Below are 16,700 nucleotides of genomic sequence, written 5' to 3' on the forward strand. Positions count from 1 at the left end.
CCAGAAAGGTATTGTTGAGTTCCCAGTTTTAAAAAGTTACTTTTTTTAGTGACATAAATCACTATGTAATACAGTTGACCTTTGAACAACAGGAGTTTAACCTGCAGCAGTCTAATTATATGCAGATTTTCTTCCACCTCTGCCACCTGAGACAGCAAGACCAATCTCCTTCTTCCTCCTTCTCCTCAGCCTACTCAACTTGGAGACCATGAGGATGACCCACTTCCACTTAATAAATAGTAAATATATTTTTATTCCTTATGATATTCTTAATAGCCATTTTTCTCTAGCTTGCTTTCTTGTAAGAATATAGTATAGTAACACACGTAACATACCAAATGTCTTAACTGTTTATGTTATGAATAAGGCTCCTGGTCAATAGTCATCTAATTCGTAGCTAATTTTGGGGGGAATCAAAAGTTACACACAGGTTTTCAGCTGCACACGGGGTCAGTACTGCTAAATCCTATGTTATTCAAAGGTCAACTGTAATTGACATTTATTTACTAAATAAAAGCCTTTTTTTTTTTTTTTTGAGATGGAGTTTTGCTCTTGTTGCCCAGGCTGGAGTGCAATGGCATGATCTTGGCTCACGGTAAACTCCACCTCCCGGGTTCAAGCGATTCTCCTGCCTCAGCCTCCCGAGTAGCTGGGATTACAGACATGCGCCACCATGCCCAGCTAACTTTGTATTGTTAGCAGAGACAGGGTTTCTCCATGTTGGTCAGGCTGGTCTCGAACTCCCAACCTCAGGTGATCCACCCGCCTCAGCCTCCCAAAGTGCTAGGATTATAGGCATGAGCCACACCGTGCCCGGCAATAAAAACCATTTATTTTAAAAATTAAATAGAAGCTCCAATTTCATAACATATCCAGTTTGTTATAATGAGACTATAAATAAAATATACCACATACTAACTTAAAAATCTTTTTTCTTATTTATACAAAAAAATCATATAAGATTTTAGGGACTACAATTAAAGAAATGATTCCTTTCAGATAATACTGTTTGAGATTATAAATTATCTACACACAACTTTTTAAATCTGAAATCTAACCTACTAAAAAGAAATTTAAAACACACACACATATGTGTATATGTGTGTGTATATATATATATATGTGTGTGTATGTATATGTGCAGTTTACATAGTGAGCTTTTAAACTACTCTTTGGTGATTAAAACTTCCTTGCTCTTATTTGTTAATCTATGGTAACACCACCAAGAGTAATTTACTACCAGAAGTCTTACCTGGATTGCTATTTTGAGGATTTCTAGGTGTCTCATTTTCTTTGTATTCAGACATTACTTGGTGAATGCTGTGTAAAAACGAAATAAGTAAAATTACTATTTTAAAACTGATATAAAAATAATTACCAAAAATGTTAAATTATTAGAGTATTTCAAATGATATCAGTGTTAATTTTAGAATTTTAATTATCCCATACACTTCCCATTTGTAAGCTCTACAAACTTCTCTTTAAGCAAAAATAACATGAAGTACTCATGAACTGAAGGCAGTATAGTTCAGTAAATTAACTTGCATTAGCCTTGTGGGCGGCAAGCCATCCAGGTGCCAAGGCAAGAGACCGAGGGCACAAGCTGTTCCAGTGTAATAAAATATATAAAATAATAGTTATACTAGATACAGATCATAGATATGATTATGTATTAATATCATTCATCATTAGTTTGCAGCAATTACTCTTTATTCCAATATTATAATAATCTTCACTCTAGATAGGAGCTGAGGGAACATAGTGAGAAGTGACCAGAAGACAAGAGTGCGAGCCGTCTGTTATGCCTGGACAGGGCCACCAGAGGGCTCCTTGGTCTAGCTGTAGCGCCAGCATGTGGGAAGACGCCCGTTGACAAGCGGACCGTGGTCTGGCGGTAGCGTCAGTGTTAAGGAAAAACACCCGCTACTTAGCAGACAGGGAAAGGAAGTCTCCCTTTCCCCGGAGGAGTTTAGAGAAGACTCTACTCCTCCACCTCTTGTGGAGGGCCTGACTGATAACCTGCAGTTATCCGGAGGCCTAACCATCTCCCTGTGATGCTGTGCTTCAGTGGTCACGCTCCTAGTCCGCCTTCATGTTCCATCCTGTACACTGGCTCTGCCTTTTAGATAGTAGTAGCAAGTTAGTGAAAGTACTAAAAGTCTCTGATAAGCAGAAATAATGGCATAAGCTGTCTCTCTCCTCTGTCTTTCTGCCTCGGCTGACAGGCAGGGAAGAGCCCCCTGTCCAGTGGACACATGACCCACGTGACCTTACCTATCATTGGAAATGGCTCACACTCCTTACCCTGCCCCTTTGTCTTGTATCCAATAAATATCAGCGCAGCCTGGCATTCTGGGCCACTACCGGTCTCCGCATCTTGGTGGTAGTGGTCCCCCGGGCCCAGCTGTCTTTTATCTGTTTGTCTTGTGTCTTTATTTCTACACTCTCTCGTCTCCGCACACGGGGAGAAAACCCACCGACCCTGTGGGGCTGGACCCTACAAGCCTGACAATAATGGAAAGTGTCTTAACTCAGAATAAGCCCTAGCTCCATAACCAAAAGCTACTAGTTCTTGGATGAGTTGCTTTTGTTAGGTTCAATGTCTTCTTCTAAAAAGTGAGAATTTTACTGTCTTGTTTTACTAGGTTGTTATAAAAACTTGAGATAACGTATTTTGAATGTTCAGAAAAATAGCGAAGCAATGAAATAATTTGTTCTTGAACTTTATTGGTGAAACTATCTTGGAACTGCAAATAATATCCAATGCGTATTTTTTGTAGGTTCTAATATTGAAATGTTGTGGTACTTGGGAAATATTATTAAGTCCTAATTTTGTTTATTAGGTGTTCTACTCTTTGTGGCTTCTAATTTAGGGCATCTCATATATTTCATAGTTTGTAACTACATTTATTTATAAACCTATTATCTCATTAAATTAGATAACATTAATTGTCTACTGTTACTGAGCTCATCGATCATACCAAAGGCAAAAAACTAATAGATATTAAGACCTGCCTTGGACTACTATTCCTTCTTTACAGACTCAAACTCTGAACCAGTAGATCTTTGTTAGAATGATGCTTAATCTCCATGTTCACCTCCAACTGACATAAAAGATAAAACTCTTTTTGTAAGTTCCATGAAGGAGATGCAAGTTGACATTTTTCTCATTTCTGAGACACATACTAACAATATATTTGCACACAACATCCCATGTTTTACTCAGCTCCATTCTCATTCCATAGATCACTGTATGTGAATATTTTTGTAGTGAAAATCACAATTTCAATATTAAGTGCCAACCATTTTGCTTTGACTCATGCTGTTTCCTCGGAGCTAGTCAGAAAATTGTCAAATGACCTCCAGGGACTGCACAAAATATGAACCACTTCATGAATTTGTGTGTCATCCTTATGCAGGAGCAATGCTAATTTTCTCTGTATTATTCCAGTGTTAGGATGTGTGCTGCTGAAGCAAAGACAAAACCTACTTTACACGTGAATACTCATGAGTCATGGATGAGACTTAGCTCTGATAAACCCAATAAACCTACTTTGTTGTTGAATGGCTTCCTGTGAGGTAGAATATGAAAATATTTTTAAAACTTGAGGTAGAAATGCAAGTCGTTAGGCCAGGCATGGTGGCTCATGCCTGTAATCCCAGCACTTTGGGAGGCTGAGGCAGGCGGATCACCTGGGGTCAGGAGTTCAAGACCAGCCCGGCAAACATGGTGAAACATCGTCTCTACTAAAAATACAAAAATTACCCAGGTGTGGTGGCGCATGCCCGTAATCCCAGCTACTTGGGAGGCTGAGGTGGGATAATTGCTTGAACCCAGGAGGCGGAGGTTGCAGTGAGCCGAAATCACACTATTGCACTCCAGCCTGGGCAACAGAGCAAGACTCCATCTCAAAAAAAAAAAAAAAAAGAAAAAGAAAAGAAAAGAAATGCAAGTAACTTGGGAGATTTTCATTATTATGGAAAACAGATTGCTTGAGGATAAAACCACATATTGAAAAAAAAAAAAAAAAGAAAGAAAAAGAAAACACACAAATTGGCACCCACTGCTCTAGGGAAGGATAATATAGAACCTTCCACTCCCTAAGAAAATGTGCTAAACAGCTGTAAAGGCGCCTCAGAGTACAGATCTGGTAACAATGGAGTAAGAAAACACTGATCTCTTTCTGCAACATTATTTAACCTCTTTGACAGTTTAGAACAATCTCAACTACTATTTGACAGAAAAAAGACAAACAAGGGCCTCAAAGGATAACTTACCACGAATGCCTCAGCTAAGTCTAAGCTAAGATGTGGGCTCCACAGAAGGTTTCGAGTGTGGGGGAAGGTTGGTCAATTTTCTTTTTTTTTTTTTTTTTTTGAGACGGAGTCTCGCTGTCACCCAGGCTGGAGTGCAGTGGCGCGATCTCGGCTCACTGCAGGCTCCGCCCCCTGGGTTCACGCCATTCTCCTGCCTCACTCTCCTGAGTAGCTGGGACTACAGGCGCCCGCTACCTCGCCCGGCTAATTTTTTGTATTTTTAGTAGAGACGGGGTTTCACCGTGTTAGCCAGGATGGTCTCGATCTCCTGCCCTCGTGATCCGCCCGCCTCGGCCTCCCAAAGTGCTGGGATTACAGGCGTGAGCCACCGCGCCTGGCTAAGGTTGGTCAATTTTCTCACTATGTGTGTGGCTAAAGCTAGGATGCCCAGCTGTCAGAGCAGGATGCTAGTGCTTTGGGAACAATGGCTGAGCATATATGTATGTGAACTAAAAAAAGTTATAGCTATGAAGTCTATGTATGAATCACCATGAAAACTGAGGGCTCTGAATTAGTAAGCGAATCCTGGTGGGAAAAGTCAAGCATTAACAGACTGCAGAACCACTTTTAACGGCAATAATGCAGGAAAAGAATCAAAGGAAACAACAGAATGATTAGAATGTCCTTTTCTTCCCTTCCTTCTGACCGGTAAAAGATTGTCATTTTTATCCTTCTTGGACTTAGGAAACCCCTTAGGTTCTTGAAAAATTGAAAGAGGAGGGTATAGGAGATAGCCCTCAAAAGACCATACAAGATTTTCTGCTAAACTGAACATTTCAAGACCCAAATAATTAATTAGAGAAATCAGAGATGTGGCACTATTTTTATCCTACGCATGTGGCTATACTTGGAGTAAAAGGGACAATGTTGGGATCTCTAAGGTAAAGATCTCAAAAGTCCTGAGATAAAGAATTCTGCACCCATTGATACTTCTAACCAGTCCAGCCTTTTGCCTGATTTCTGGCTGATAAAGTGGACTAACTCACTGTCACTCCAAAACGACCTGAATTAAACTATAAAATCTCACCTGATGTATAGGATGCAATAGCTATAATTATTTTAAGCCTCAATTTAGTGTAAACTAGCCTTCTAATATAAAAACTTGCCTAGTAAAAGGACTAAAAATGGCATAATCTTCTGCAGCCCATCTAGACATATCTTGGGAAAACACATCAGCATTTTGCTGAAGAAGAATGCTGACTATTCTTGCTGATTCACAATGTACAGCAAGAATGAGGGCTGTTTTAAAACACCAGAGAGATAAATTCTTTCTTAGGAACTTTAAGAAAGTTATTTAAAAAGCTAATTTGATATAATATACCAATTTAATATCTTGCCTGTCCATGTAGAATTAAACATTTACATGTACTAACAAACATAAGCATCTTGGGTGCTCAAGTGTTCATCTTCATAAATTACCACCAATGCTTAAAAAAAAAAAAAAAAAAAAAAGCCTCTTGTCCCAGTAGAGTATTATATCATAGAAGTTGCTAACTTAAAGTCCTTTGATGAGCAAGAAACTATGCTGAGATCCCTTATCTAATGTAGGCAAAGATTTAAAGACAGATACATTGTAATTCAAAATCAGCTAGGGGTCAGATAAGTAAGAGCCATCTGCAGGCAGGAAACAATAATACTAATACTAACGGTAACAATAATAATAATCATAGTAGTTTCAGTTAATGATGCCGATACACATGTGCTAGGCACTGAACTAAATTTTATATATATATATATATATATATATAAATCTTTCTTCCACACAACCACCCTTGAAGGATATATTATTATCCTCCTTTTCATATAGAAAAACATATTTGGTGATAAGTAATGTTCCCAGGTCACATTTCTAGCAAGTGAGAAAGCTAGGACTTAAACCCAGTCTTGTGTGAATCTAAAGCCTAGCTCTTTTCTCTTTTTCACCCACCTATGGCTTGTCTTCATTAGAAGAAGAAGTTATTCATTTAAAGCTATATTTTCTTCCTCTGCCCATAGCAATTACAAATAAAAACATCAGGGCCGGGTGCAGTGGCTCATGCCTGTAATCCTAGCGCTTTGGAAGGCCGAGGCGGGTGGATCACCTGAGGTCAGGAGTTCAAGACCATCCTTGCTAACATGGTAAAACCCCATCTCTACTAAAAATACAAAAAATTAGCTGGGCATGGTGGCATGTGCCTGTAGTCTTAGTTACTCAGGAGGCTAAAGCAGGAGAATCGCTTGAACCCTGGAGGTGGAGGTTACAGTGAGCTGAGATTGCACCACTGCACTCCAGCCTGGGTGACAGAGCGAGACTCTGCCTAAAAAAATAAATTAAATAAAATAAAAACATCAAAATACACTAGAAATGAAATAGAAAAAACTAATGAACCCACGGTATCTGGTAATAGCAATTAACAGCCACATAGGGATAACTTAACATTACTATTTTTCAAAGAAAGCAACTTAAAGAGTCATCTAGAAGAAAAAATGATTTTCAACTCCTATTTATGTCTAATATAGCATGTTTAAAGGAAGAGCATATAAGAAGCAGAGGTTAAAAACTACTATAAAAGGGTTAAGAAGTTCAATATTTATTAAATCTTAAAGTATACTAAAAGTTAAAATCTACATTTCATACAACTAACAAAACCAATATAAAAACACTTTGGTCAGGTCACATGACCAAAAACATCACATTACAAATAACAAACACCAGTCAATATAATAAGAGAAGATGAATCCTACTATATACTCTTCTCTATGTTGCCCAGTCCAAATAATTGTTTTTCTACTTAACCGATGATTTGTGTTGATATTTTTTACTATATCACAATAATTACAAGTTAATCTTCTTATTAATCTAGTATTTCTAACTAGAGAGACTGTTATCACTCTAGAATATCAGTCAGGTTTTAAAAAAAGAACTAATTACTGTACCTTTCAAGCTTAACTGCAGTTAAATTTTCTTTTTGCTTTCTTAAAAAGTCTTCCATTTGCTGTTTTTGTTCATGTACAGCTAGCAAAAATGGTGTGAGTTCATCCTGTAAAACGGCAAGAGCAACTGATAATTCACAACGTTACATATTTCTCAACTGAGCTGGAAACTTTATATTTATGTAAGTAAGTAAGTCCCTTCCTTTTTATTCTTCTTTGCTTTTCCGTGTGCTGTTCCTTCCCTTGGAAAAACCCCTTCTCCTCCACCTCACCACATGAACTCTGGTCATCTCCAAAACTCACTTCAATACCAGCTCCAATAATCTTCACTTCTGTCACAGCACTTAACATAGTATATTGTAATGATTTTATTGTTTTCCATGTAAACCAAGAGCTTCTTGAGGGCAGGGGCTCTACCTTTTATCTCTATATTCCCAAATCTTAAGACATATTAGTAAAAGCTTCAAGCGTTTTTATTAATGATCTAAATTATTGCGTCTAGTGTTTCTTAAGCTGCATTGCAAAGAATGTTTACTTTACCAGATGTGTAACACATCCAGCTACAGCTAAGAATAACCTAGAAAGGCTTATAGGGACGCTAATGAGAAGGTGGTTATTTATGGCAAATATAAAAAATGAGAGTTAAATATAAAGAATATTTACCATAAATAAAAAGAATATAGAATTTAGCAGTTTTTTTTTAAACTTCTAAATTTTAAAATTCAACTCTGGTGCTAAGGGATTTATATAAAATATAGGCTATATATTATAAACAAATAGAAACTGTCTTGAAAGCCTTGACATCTTTATCAAAATATACTGTAAGACGAGAGTTGTCAAATGCTTACAAGGGCAAAGGGGGTGACCTAAGTGAGGTACCTAGGTGGGCACCACAGCAAACTAGAGAACACAGGCCTCATAGAAAGGGGTAACCTCTGCACATCAGACCAAACAGTGATGTGGGCTCAAGGGACACCAGATTTGGTTCTTAAGAGAAGCCTAAAATCCAGATTTGTATATAAGTCTCCTAAATTTTACCTGTTGACACAATTTATGAAGGCAAGTGAAACATACCTATGGGCCACATTTAGACCGCAGCCCTTGCATTTTTAAACTTGCCGTGGGTGTGTTGCCAAATGGTTGTGCATAAAGTAAGTATTTGCATGTAAAATATTTTTTCTTTAGTTTCAGATGTTTTACCAAAAAAACAGTTCCCAACATATAATAAAATTTGCTACTAAGACTCACACTACCCACTTCAGTAATTTTTCTAGCATTTATTCATTTAAAATCTGTTAGTAAGTAGTTTTCTGAGATTGTTAGCCAAATAGATATTTAGTTCATAGGAATGCTGAAACGAAATGATTAAAAGAATTTATGGCCGAGTGCGGTGGCCCACGCCTGTAATCCCACCACTTTGGGAGGCCGAGGCAGGCGGAACACCTGAGGTCAGGAGTTCAAGACCAGCCTGCCCAACATGGCAAAACCCTGTCTCTACTGAAAATACAAAAAATTAGCTCGGCGTGGTGGCAGGCGCCTGCAATCCCAGCTATTCAGGAGAATGAGGCAGGAGAATCTCTTGAACCCGGGTGGCAGAGGTTGCAGTGAGCTGAGATTAAGCCACTGCACTCTAGCCTGGGGGACAAGAGTAAAACTCCATCTCAAAAAAAAAAAAAAAGAATTTATATCTGTACTCTTAGTAACTTCATGGTTTTCAGGGTTTAAAACTGTCATCCTGATTATACCAAAACTCTATGAACAGACATACTGATATAGCCCATAATACAGCTTCAACAACAACAACAAAATGTTTAGAATTTGCTACAATTCTAGTTAAGGAAACTCCACTTGTAATAAAGATTTATTGGCCTAATTACCTGAATGGTAACAAAGAGATGTGAAGTCCTGAAGGGGTCAGCCTCCACTTAGTGAAATACTGCCCAGGCTGAGTGTACTAGCTCATGCCTGTAATCCCAGCACTTTTGGAAGCTGAGGCAGAAGGGCTGCTTGAAGCAACCGAGAGTTTGAGACCAGCCTGGGCAATATAGTGAAACCCTGTATGTACAAAAAATTTAAAAATTGGCTGGGCATGATGGTGCATGTCTGTAGTCTCAGCTACTCAGGAGGCTGAGGTAGGAGGATCACTTGAGTTCCAGAAGGTTGAGGCTGCACTGAGCTTTGATTGTGCCACTGCACTCCAGCCTAGGTGACAGAGCAAGATCCTGTCTCAAAAAAATTTTTAAAAAGAAAGACTACCCATAGCAAATTTATAAAGACCCGCTGAATGGCAGTAAATAATTAATGGTGGGAAGGAAAAGGTGTTATTCTGTAAGCTGATAGATATTGCCAACAATATTTCTTTTAGCTTCACAACCACAAAGGTAAAGAAAAATGGGCTAATATTATTGAAAAGGAGAGATTTTAAGGAAGTAGTACCTATCAAACTCCAACTCTTCTAGAGATTTCTTAACTCTAGAAGAGCAATTTATATATTACACTTACCTATTCAGTGATTCTTAACCAGACATGTATCAGAATTTTGAGGAATTTGCTGTTATTTAGTCAGCGCTGGGGTCTTACTATGTTGCCCAGGCTAGACTCAAACTCCTGGCCTCAAGCAATAGCCCCACCTCAGCCTCCTGAGTAGCTGGGACTGTAGCTATGTTTCACCATGCCTGGATCCAAGGAAATATTTGTAAACATGTATGTCTAGGCTTTATTAGATTTACTATATCAAAATCATCAGAGGAGAGGTTAGCTTTGTAGAATTTTTTATATTTCCCTAGGTTATGGTGATGCACAATTCTAGCTGAGAACTAGTGCAATCGACAATTACTTCCATCATCTCTCACCACATGACCAGTTACCTTTATCTTTGAGGATTTGGCCAAAAAGAGGAAAGAGTAAAAGAGAGTTTTTACTCTCTGTTTTACATTTACTGAGAGTTTTTTCTCTCTCTTTTACATTTACTGAAAACTCCACACAATTTGTTTGGGTAGGAATAGAATAGGGACTAGTAAACTCAAAATCCAACTTGACTTTGCTATTTGTAAGCTCTTTATCTTCCACCTTCCCCTCAGGACAGTCTAGATTTGAGAGCAGTGTTTAGACATTTATCTAAGCGGCTGTTTCTGCCAGCATAGGATAAGTCAGTTAATTACTTGCTTAAGGGTTTCCCACTTCATCACCACCTATTCACAGCCAAACTGGTTTCCTCACGGTCCTCCTAAGATTGATCTCTAGATGAGTGAACAACTCATTAACTCTCTCCCAAACTGAAAACTATTATCCCCAAAACTGAAAAGAATCTTGTCTAGACACATAAACTGGAAACAAAGAAACAAAAAGCAAACAACAACAAAAAAAACTCTTCTCGGTATTTTCCCTCAATTACCTAATTTCCAAATTGGCCTGCATATTTCTGGTTGCTCTCCTTTCCTTTTCCATTTTTCCCTTTTAAGCCCTGCTACTGAGAGTTAAATCATTTTCATATATATTACTCTATGTAGGAACTTATCAACAGCATCAAGATTTCTGTTTATTTAAAATGTGTTAGCTTTGCTGGCATTTTAAGATAAAGCTTATTTCCAGAGCAAATTTCACTTTCCAGGGTAATTGTATAATAATTAGAAAAAAAAACTTGGAAGGAAAAAATTTAAAAGTATTACCTTTTCAAATTCAGTGTTTTCAAAAATTTTACCATAAATACATTTAAAAAGATATACCCTCTAATGCTTCTTTAAAAGTATCAATATTTAAAGTAACATTTTATAATTAAGTTATTTCCAAATATTTTTATTCAGGTTATGCTTGAGCTTCCAAATATGGAAAACTGACCTGTACATAAGTCAATGTTAAAACAAATGCATTTCAAATATTTTGAAAATAAAGTTGGTTGATCTATACCTTGTTTGCTGATTCAATATTGGCATGGTGTAAAAGCAGTTTTTTTGTCATTGGGATATCCTCATTGTAGATGGCATAGTGTAAGGTAGTATTGCCATAGACATCTGGAAGGTCTGGGTCGGCTCCGTGTTCTAGCAAAATAGTCGCACATTCCTCTTCCTGGCATTGTACCGCCTGTCAGTGTTAGACCAAGAAATAGATTGTAAATTCTAGGAGTTCAAAATAAGCATTCCACAAGTTTCACCAATGAGTTCTGTTTAAATGATGGATTTTATTTTATTCTATGTATTTGTATCAAATCCATCTCATGCTGAAATTGTTGACTACTATGTACCTTTAGCAGAGCAGTCCTGTTTTTGTTGTCAAAGACATCAAGTTGACATCCTCTGTCCACCAGAAGAGCTACCACTTCTGGATGGCCGTTGGCACAGGCCAAATGCAGAGCAGTCCTATGAGAGGGAGACGACATTTTTAGGAAACTATTGGAAAACATAAAATCATAAAATCATCTGAAAACATAAAATCATCTATATAATTATAAACATTGAGTAGCATGTGATTTCTCTGCCTTCCAAACAAATATTTAATTTTTTATGAAGAAATCACACTTTTTACTCTCTCTTATTACTCACTACATTAATGAAAGAGCAGCCTATTTCAATAGAAAGACCTTGGCCTTTGGATTCAGTTCAACTTGGACTGGAATCCTACTTTAAACTCTGTCACTTCCTACTTATTGCTTAGCCTTTTTTGCCTCGATTTCCTTATTAATAAAGTGGGGTTAAAAACACTGGCTGTCTCACAGGACACTGTTGTGATGCTTGCATGAGACTCTGTACAAAGTATTTAGACAGTTCCTAGCACAAATAACAGCTCAGTATTTGTTAGGTATTACAATTATTACTAATACTACCACTTAACAAATACAAGATTTTAGTTAAGTAAAATGATACAATTATATCTTCTTTGAGATATGTTTAAAGATTAGAGGTAACATTGTATTTTGATCATTCTGAGTTGCTCACTTGCTCATATTTTAACATCTCTGACATTGGAATCCCACTTACAATTCTTGACTTATTACAACTAAAATTGGCAACATTTAAACAATTCTCTTATTGAGACATAAAATGACAGGGCATCACAGAATCCATGGTGCCTTGCAATAAGTAGAATTAGTATATACAACACATCTAGGGCCGTTCTAGTCATATAAATGGCATTTAAATAAATTTTAGTTCTTAAAAGTACTATGGAACGAGAGGACTGAAAATAAAGATGACAACAAATGTTTAAAACAAACTCATTCTAACTTTGATTTTCAAAAAAAAAACACTTTAAGCCAAAAGAAATTCAGAATTCAAATGAAAGCATACGGCTTATTTTATTTTCTATTTAGATTTATAGAATGGATGTAAATCAGGCACTTTCAATGATTAATATTCACATTTAAGACTGTTAAAAACTTTCAAAAGAGTAGTTATAAGTTATATTTTGTGGCCGGGCACAATGGCTCATGCCTGTAATCCCAGCACTTTGGGTGGCCGAGGCAGGCAGATCACCTGAGGTCAGGAGTTCAAGACCAACCTGGCCAACATGGTGAAGCCCTGTCTCTTCTAAAAATACAAAAATTAGCCAGGTGTGGTGGTGCACGCCTGTAATCCCAGATACTCAGGAGGCTGAGGCAAGAGAATCACTTGAATCCAGAAGGCGGAGGCTGCGGTGAGCCAAGATCAGCCAAGATTGTGCCATTGCACTCCAGCCTGGGCAACAGAGACTCGGTCTCAAAAAAAAAAAAAAAAAAAAGTTCTATTTTGCTATTTTCCACCTTCAGAAATGCTTAAAGGAGGAAGGAAAAGCTTCAGTTGAGATTAAGTTATAATACTCCAATTTTAAATCTCTCAGTTTGCTCAAGCTAGGCAGGTAAATATGAAGTTTTTAAGGATGAAAGCATCCTGAAAGATAGTAGAATATGTGTACTACATAACAGGTGTCCAGCCTCTGTTTGATGAATAAATCGATTGAAAGAATGGAGGCTGTGCGTGGTGCCTCATGTCTGTAATTGCAGCTCTTTGAGAGGCCAAGGTGGGAGGATTACTTGGGCCCAGGAGTTTAAGACCAACCTGGACAACATGGCGACACCCGTCTCTACAAAAAGTACAAAAATTAGCCAGGCATGGTGCGCACACCAGCAGTCCCAGCTACTCAGAGGCTGAGGAGAGGATCACTTGAGCACAGGAGGTCGAGGCTGCAGTGAACCATAATTGTGCCACTGCACTCCAACCTGGGTGAGATCCTGCCTCAAAAAGAAAATTATTTTTATTTAAAAAAAATGGAAAAATACAGTTGGGGAGTTCAACATTTTTAAGGAAAACTCCCATAAGATAAAGCAATACTTTTGTAATAGTAATAATCACTTATATTTGCTATTTTTTATTTTCATAAGGACACAACTAAACTAAAATTTTTAATCTGTTTTTTTCACATATATAGTAAATCTGTATATAATAAAAACATATGTATATAATGAAAATGTACTCATAATAAAACCTTTAAGCACAGATAAAAGGATTCCCCCTTCTCCAAAAAAGGCTAAAAGTTAACTGAAGAGACCAAACCGCAAAAATAAAATAATACAAAGTGAGAAATGATTTTTATCTAGGCAAGTTTCATGTATTCTTCTTTTCCCAAGGATTATTTCATTAATAATAAGCCTTTACTATAACTTTTATACAAACTCATTGCAGAAATCACAGACAAGAAAAAAAGGTACTTATAGTACAAATGCCCAGAAATAAATGTACTCATATTTGGTACATATTTTCAGCTAAAACAAGAGCATAGTCTGTGTGTATGTACACTCAAAATAATTTTTTCTCAATTTGTATAGCAAAGTACATCTTCACATGTCAAAATAAGTCTGCATCTAGTCACACCTTCAACGGCTACTATTCCATCCTATGGATGCACTGAAATTTAGTTCTAAAATCCACCATATGAGTTTTTCTTAATACATTGAGGTTTTAAGCAGTACTGAGAAAAACAAATTGGATGTATCTCTATTTTTTACAAATATTTCAGTATAATGGAATTGATGAGTGAAGGGCATTTATGTTTTTTTTAAATGTGGTGCTTATCACCAAATTCTCTACTTGAAAATTCATCAGCAACTTAAACTTTAAGCAGCCATATAAGTACCACTGTCTTCATCTTCACAAACTTTGTGGATAGGAAACAGTATTTTATTTCTTTTTTAACATGAATTACTTCTCTTACAAGAAATACTAAATATCTTTTCCTATGTCACTTATAGATCTACAAAAGAAGTACTTTGCCCAAATTTAGAATTATTTTCTTGTTGATCTGAATTATCTGTAATATGAAGATACATTTTTCACCTGATGTGTATGTATTACATGTGTGTGTTATATGTATGTAGTGTAAATATTTTGCAAGTAGGTTGTCTTTTTTTCTTATTTACAGAGTGTTTTAAGTTTTATTTTGCTAAATCAACCTGCAGAATGCTTGCTTGTGAAGTTCTTAAGAAAGTCTTTGTCAACATAAAAATGTATCTGTATAAAAAGGCATGTGTGTCTTCTTCTGGTACTTTCCTTATTTTGTATACTTAAAATATTTGATCTATATTTCATCAGGAACTTATTTCTGTGACATAAAAATCTAGTTCGTTTTCACCAAACAGCAGGCATTTCATTTATGAATAATTCACCCTTCCTACTAATCTAAAATGTCAACATTATCAAGTTCTAAATTCTTACATGTATTTGGGCAATTCTAGATCTTCTATTCTGTTTCATTCATTTGTCTTTTCAGTTGTTAATAAACAATTTGTGGAAATTAATAGCACATTTTGATATATAGAAAGGCCAGTCTTTCTCACCTCATTACAAAAAACATTTTCATGTCATCATAATAGTAAAACACAGACAACAAGTTTAATTTTAAAATGTTAAAACTTTGATATTTTTATCTGATTTATGTAAAGTTGATAGACAAAGAGCTCACATCTTAAGAAAAACGAATCTTCCTACTCAAGAACAGGAACGACTTCCCACTTCAAAGTTTCCTTCTAAGGTTCCTCAGTAAATAACGTATTTACGTAGATGTACATTTATATAAAAATAAATATTAGATATAATCTGAAGAATTGTTAGCCCAGAAGTTGAAATGTCATGGGAATTATTGCTCTCCTTATGCACCTGTCTATAGCGTATATAACTTTATGTTGGCCAGGCGCAGTGGCTCACGCCTGTAATCCCAGCACTCTGGGAGGCTGAGGCGGACGGATCATCTTAAGTCAGGAGTTCGAGACAAGCCTGGCCAACATGGTGAAACCCCGTCTCTACTAAAAATACAAAAATTAGCCGGGAGTGGTAGTGTGCACCTATAATCCCAGCTGCTCAGGAGGCTCAGGCAGGAGAATTGCTGGAACCCGGGAGATAGAGGCGGCAGTAAGCCAAGATCGCGCCACTGCACTCCAGCCTGGGCAAAAAGAGCGAAACTACGTCTCATTAAAAAAAAAAAAAAATATATATATATATATATATATATATATATATATATATATATATATGTTTTGAAATGTGTCCATTCAAGATAAAGTGCTGTATAGACTTAATTAACCCCTCCAAGGTTTCCCCAGGCCAGGTGCTGTGGAGCCTGCAGAGGCAGGAAAGCCAGGACCCCGGGGTCAGGAGGGATCGCCCCCCACCCCGCATCCCCCCGCCAAAAAGGGGGCACTTCTCCCACACACCCGCCTCCTCCCAGTCCCCGCCCCCAGCCCCAGCTCCTGTCACCTTTTCTTCTTGTCTCTCTCATCCAAGTCAGCGCTCCCGCTCGAAAGGATGCACTCCACCTTGGAGACTTCACCCCGGCTGGCAGCTCTGTGGAGCTTGCCGAGGTGTTTCTCTTGGATATTGTACCCGCACTGGGCGAAGGGGCTGTCATCGCTCTCGGCGACATCGTCCCCCCTGCAACACCAACAGCCGGTGAAGGAGCAGGAGGGCCCCTGGCCCTTCTGGCCCCCGAAGCCAGAGCTCCTCCTCATGGCGGAGGCTATCAGAGACACCTCAGCACCAGTCCGCCTATCACAGCCTCAGAGGCCCAGTAAGACCAAGCCACTCTGGTCAGCCACCACCTCCAACCAGGAAACTTCGCAGTTTCCAAAGTCAGAGCCAGTAACAAGCGAAGCCAACCAGCCAAGCCGCGCCAAGCGAAGCCGGTATGCCCGACCGCGCATGCGCACCTCTGACAGCTCGTCACTGCGCGTGCGCACAACCGACAGGTGGCCAACCGTTCTCAGCGCGCATGTGCATGGCTCACGTGTCAGAAACATCGATGACAGCTTGTCACCAGCCCTGCGTTCCCGCCCCACGTCAGTGAGAGTTGGCAGAGTTTTCAGGACATTCCCCGGAAGGGGAAGGCATCCTGAAGTTCCAGCTACTCTAGCCCCAGTCACGTGTGAAGACGCCATTCCCACGTGGGAACACAGGACTGAGGGTAGAGCAGCTAGAGAACCTTGGGATGCTGAAGGCCTCGCCCGGGGA

At 38.2% G+C, this 16,700-nt stretch overlaps 2 pseudogenes across 1 annotated transcript in view; both read right to left on the reverse strand.

Moving 5' to 3' along the window:
- Positions 1–16,383, reverse strand: part of ANKRD26P1 (ankyrin repeat domain 26 pseudogene 1) — a 99,761-nt pseudogene extending 83,378 nt beyond the window's left edge. The window contains exons 1-5 of the transcript NR_026556.1: positions 15,951–16,383; positions 11,471–11,585; positions 11,137–11,310; positions 7,234–7,337; positions 1,253–1,320 (exon numbers count right to left, since the gene is read on the reverse strand). The product of NR_026556.1 is annotated as an ankyrin repeat domain 26 pseudogene 1 (transcript). The remainder of the gene's footprint in view (positions 1–1,252; positions 1,321–7,233; positions 7,338–11,136; positions 11,311–11,470; positions 11,586–15,950) is intronic.
- Positions 3,375–3,477, reverse strand: RNU6-845P (RNA, U6 small nuclear 845, pseudogene; annotated as a pseudogene).
- Positions 16,384–16,700: the final 317 nt, after the last annotated feature.

Source organism: Homo sapiens, chromosome 16 (genome assembly GCF_000001405.40).
Source record: "Homo sapiens chromosome 16, GRCh38.p14 Primary Assembly".
NCBI lineage: Eukaryota > Metazoa > Chordata > Mammalia > Primates > Hominidae > Homo > Homo sapiens.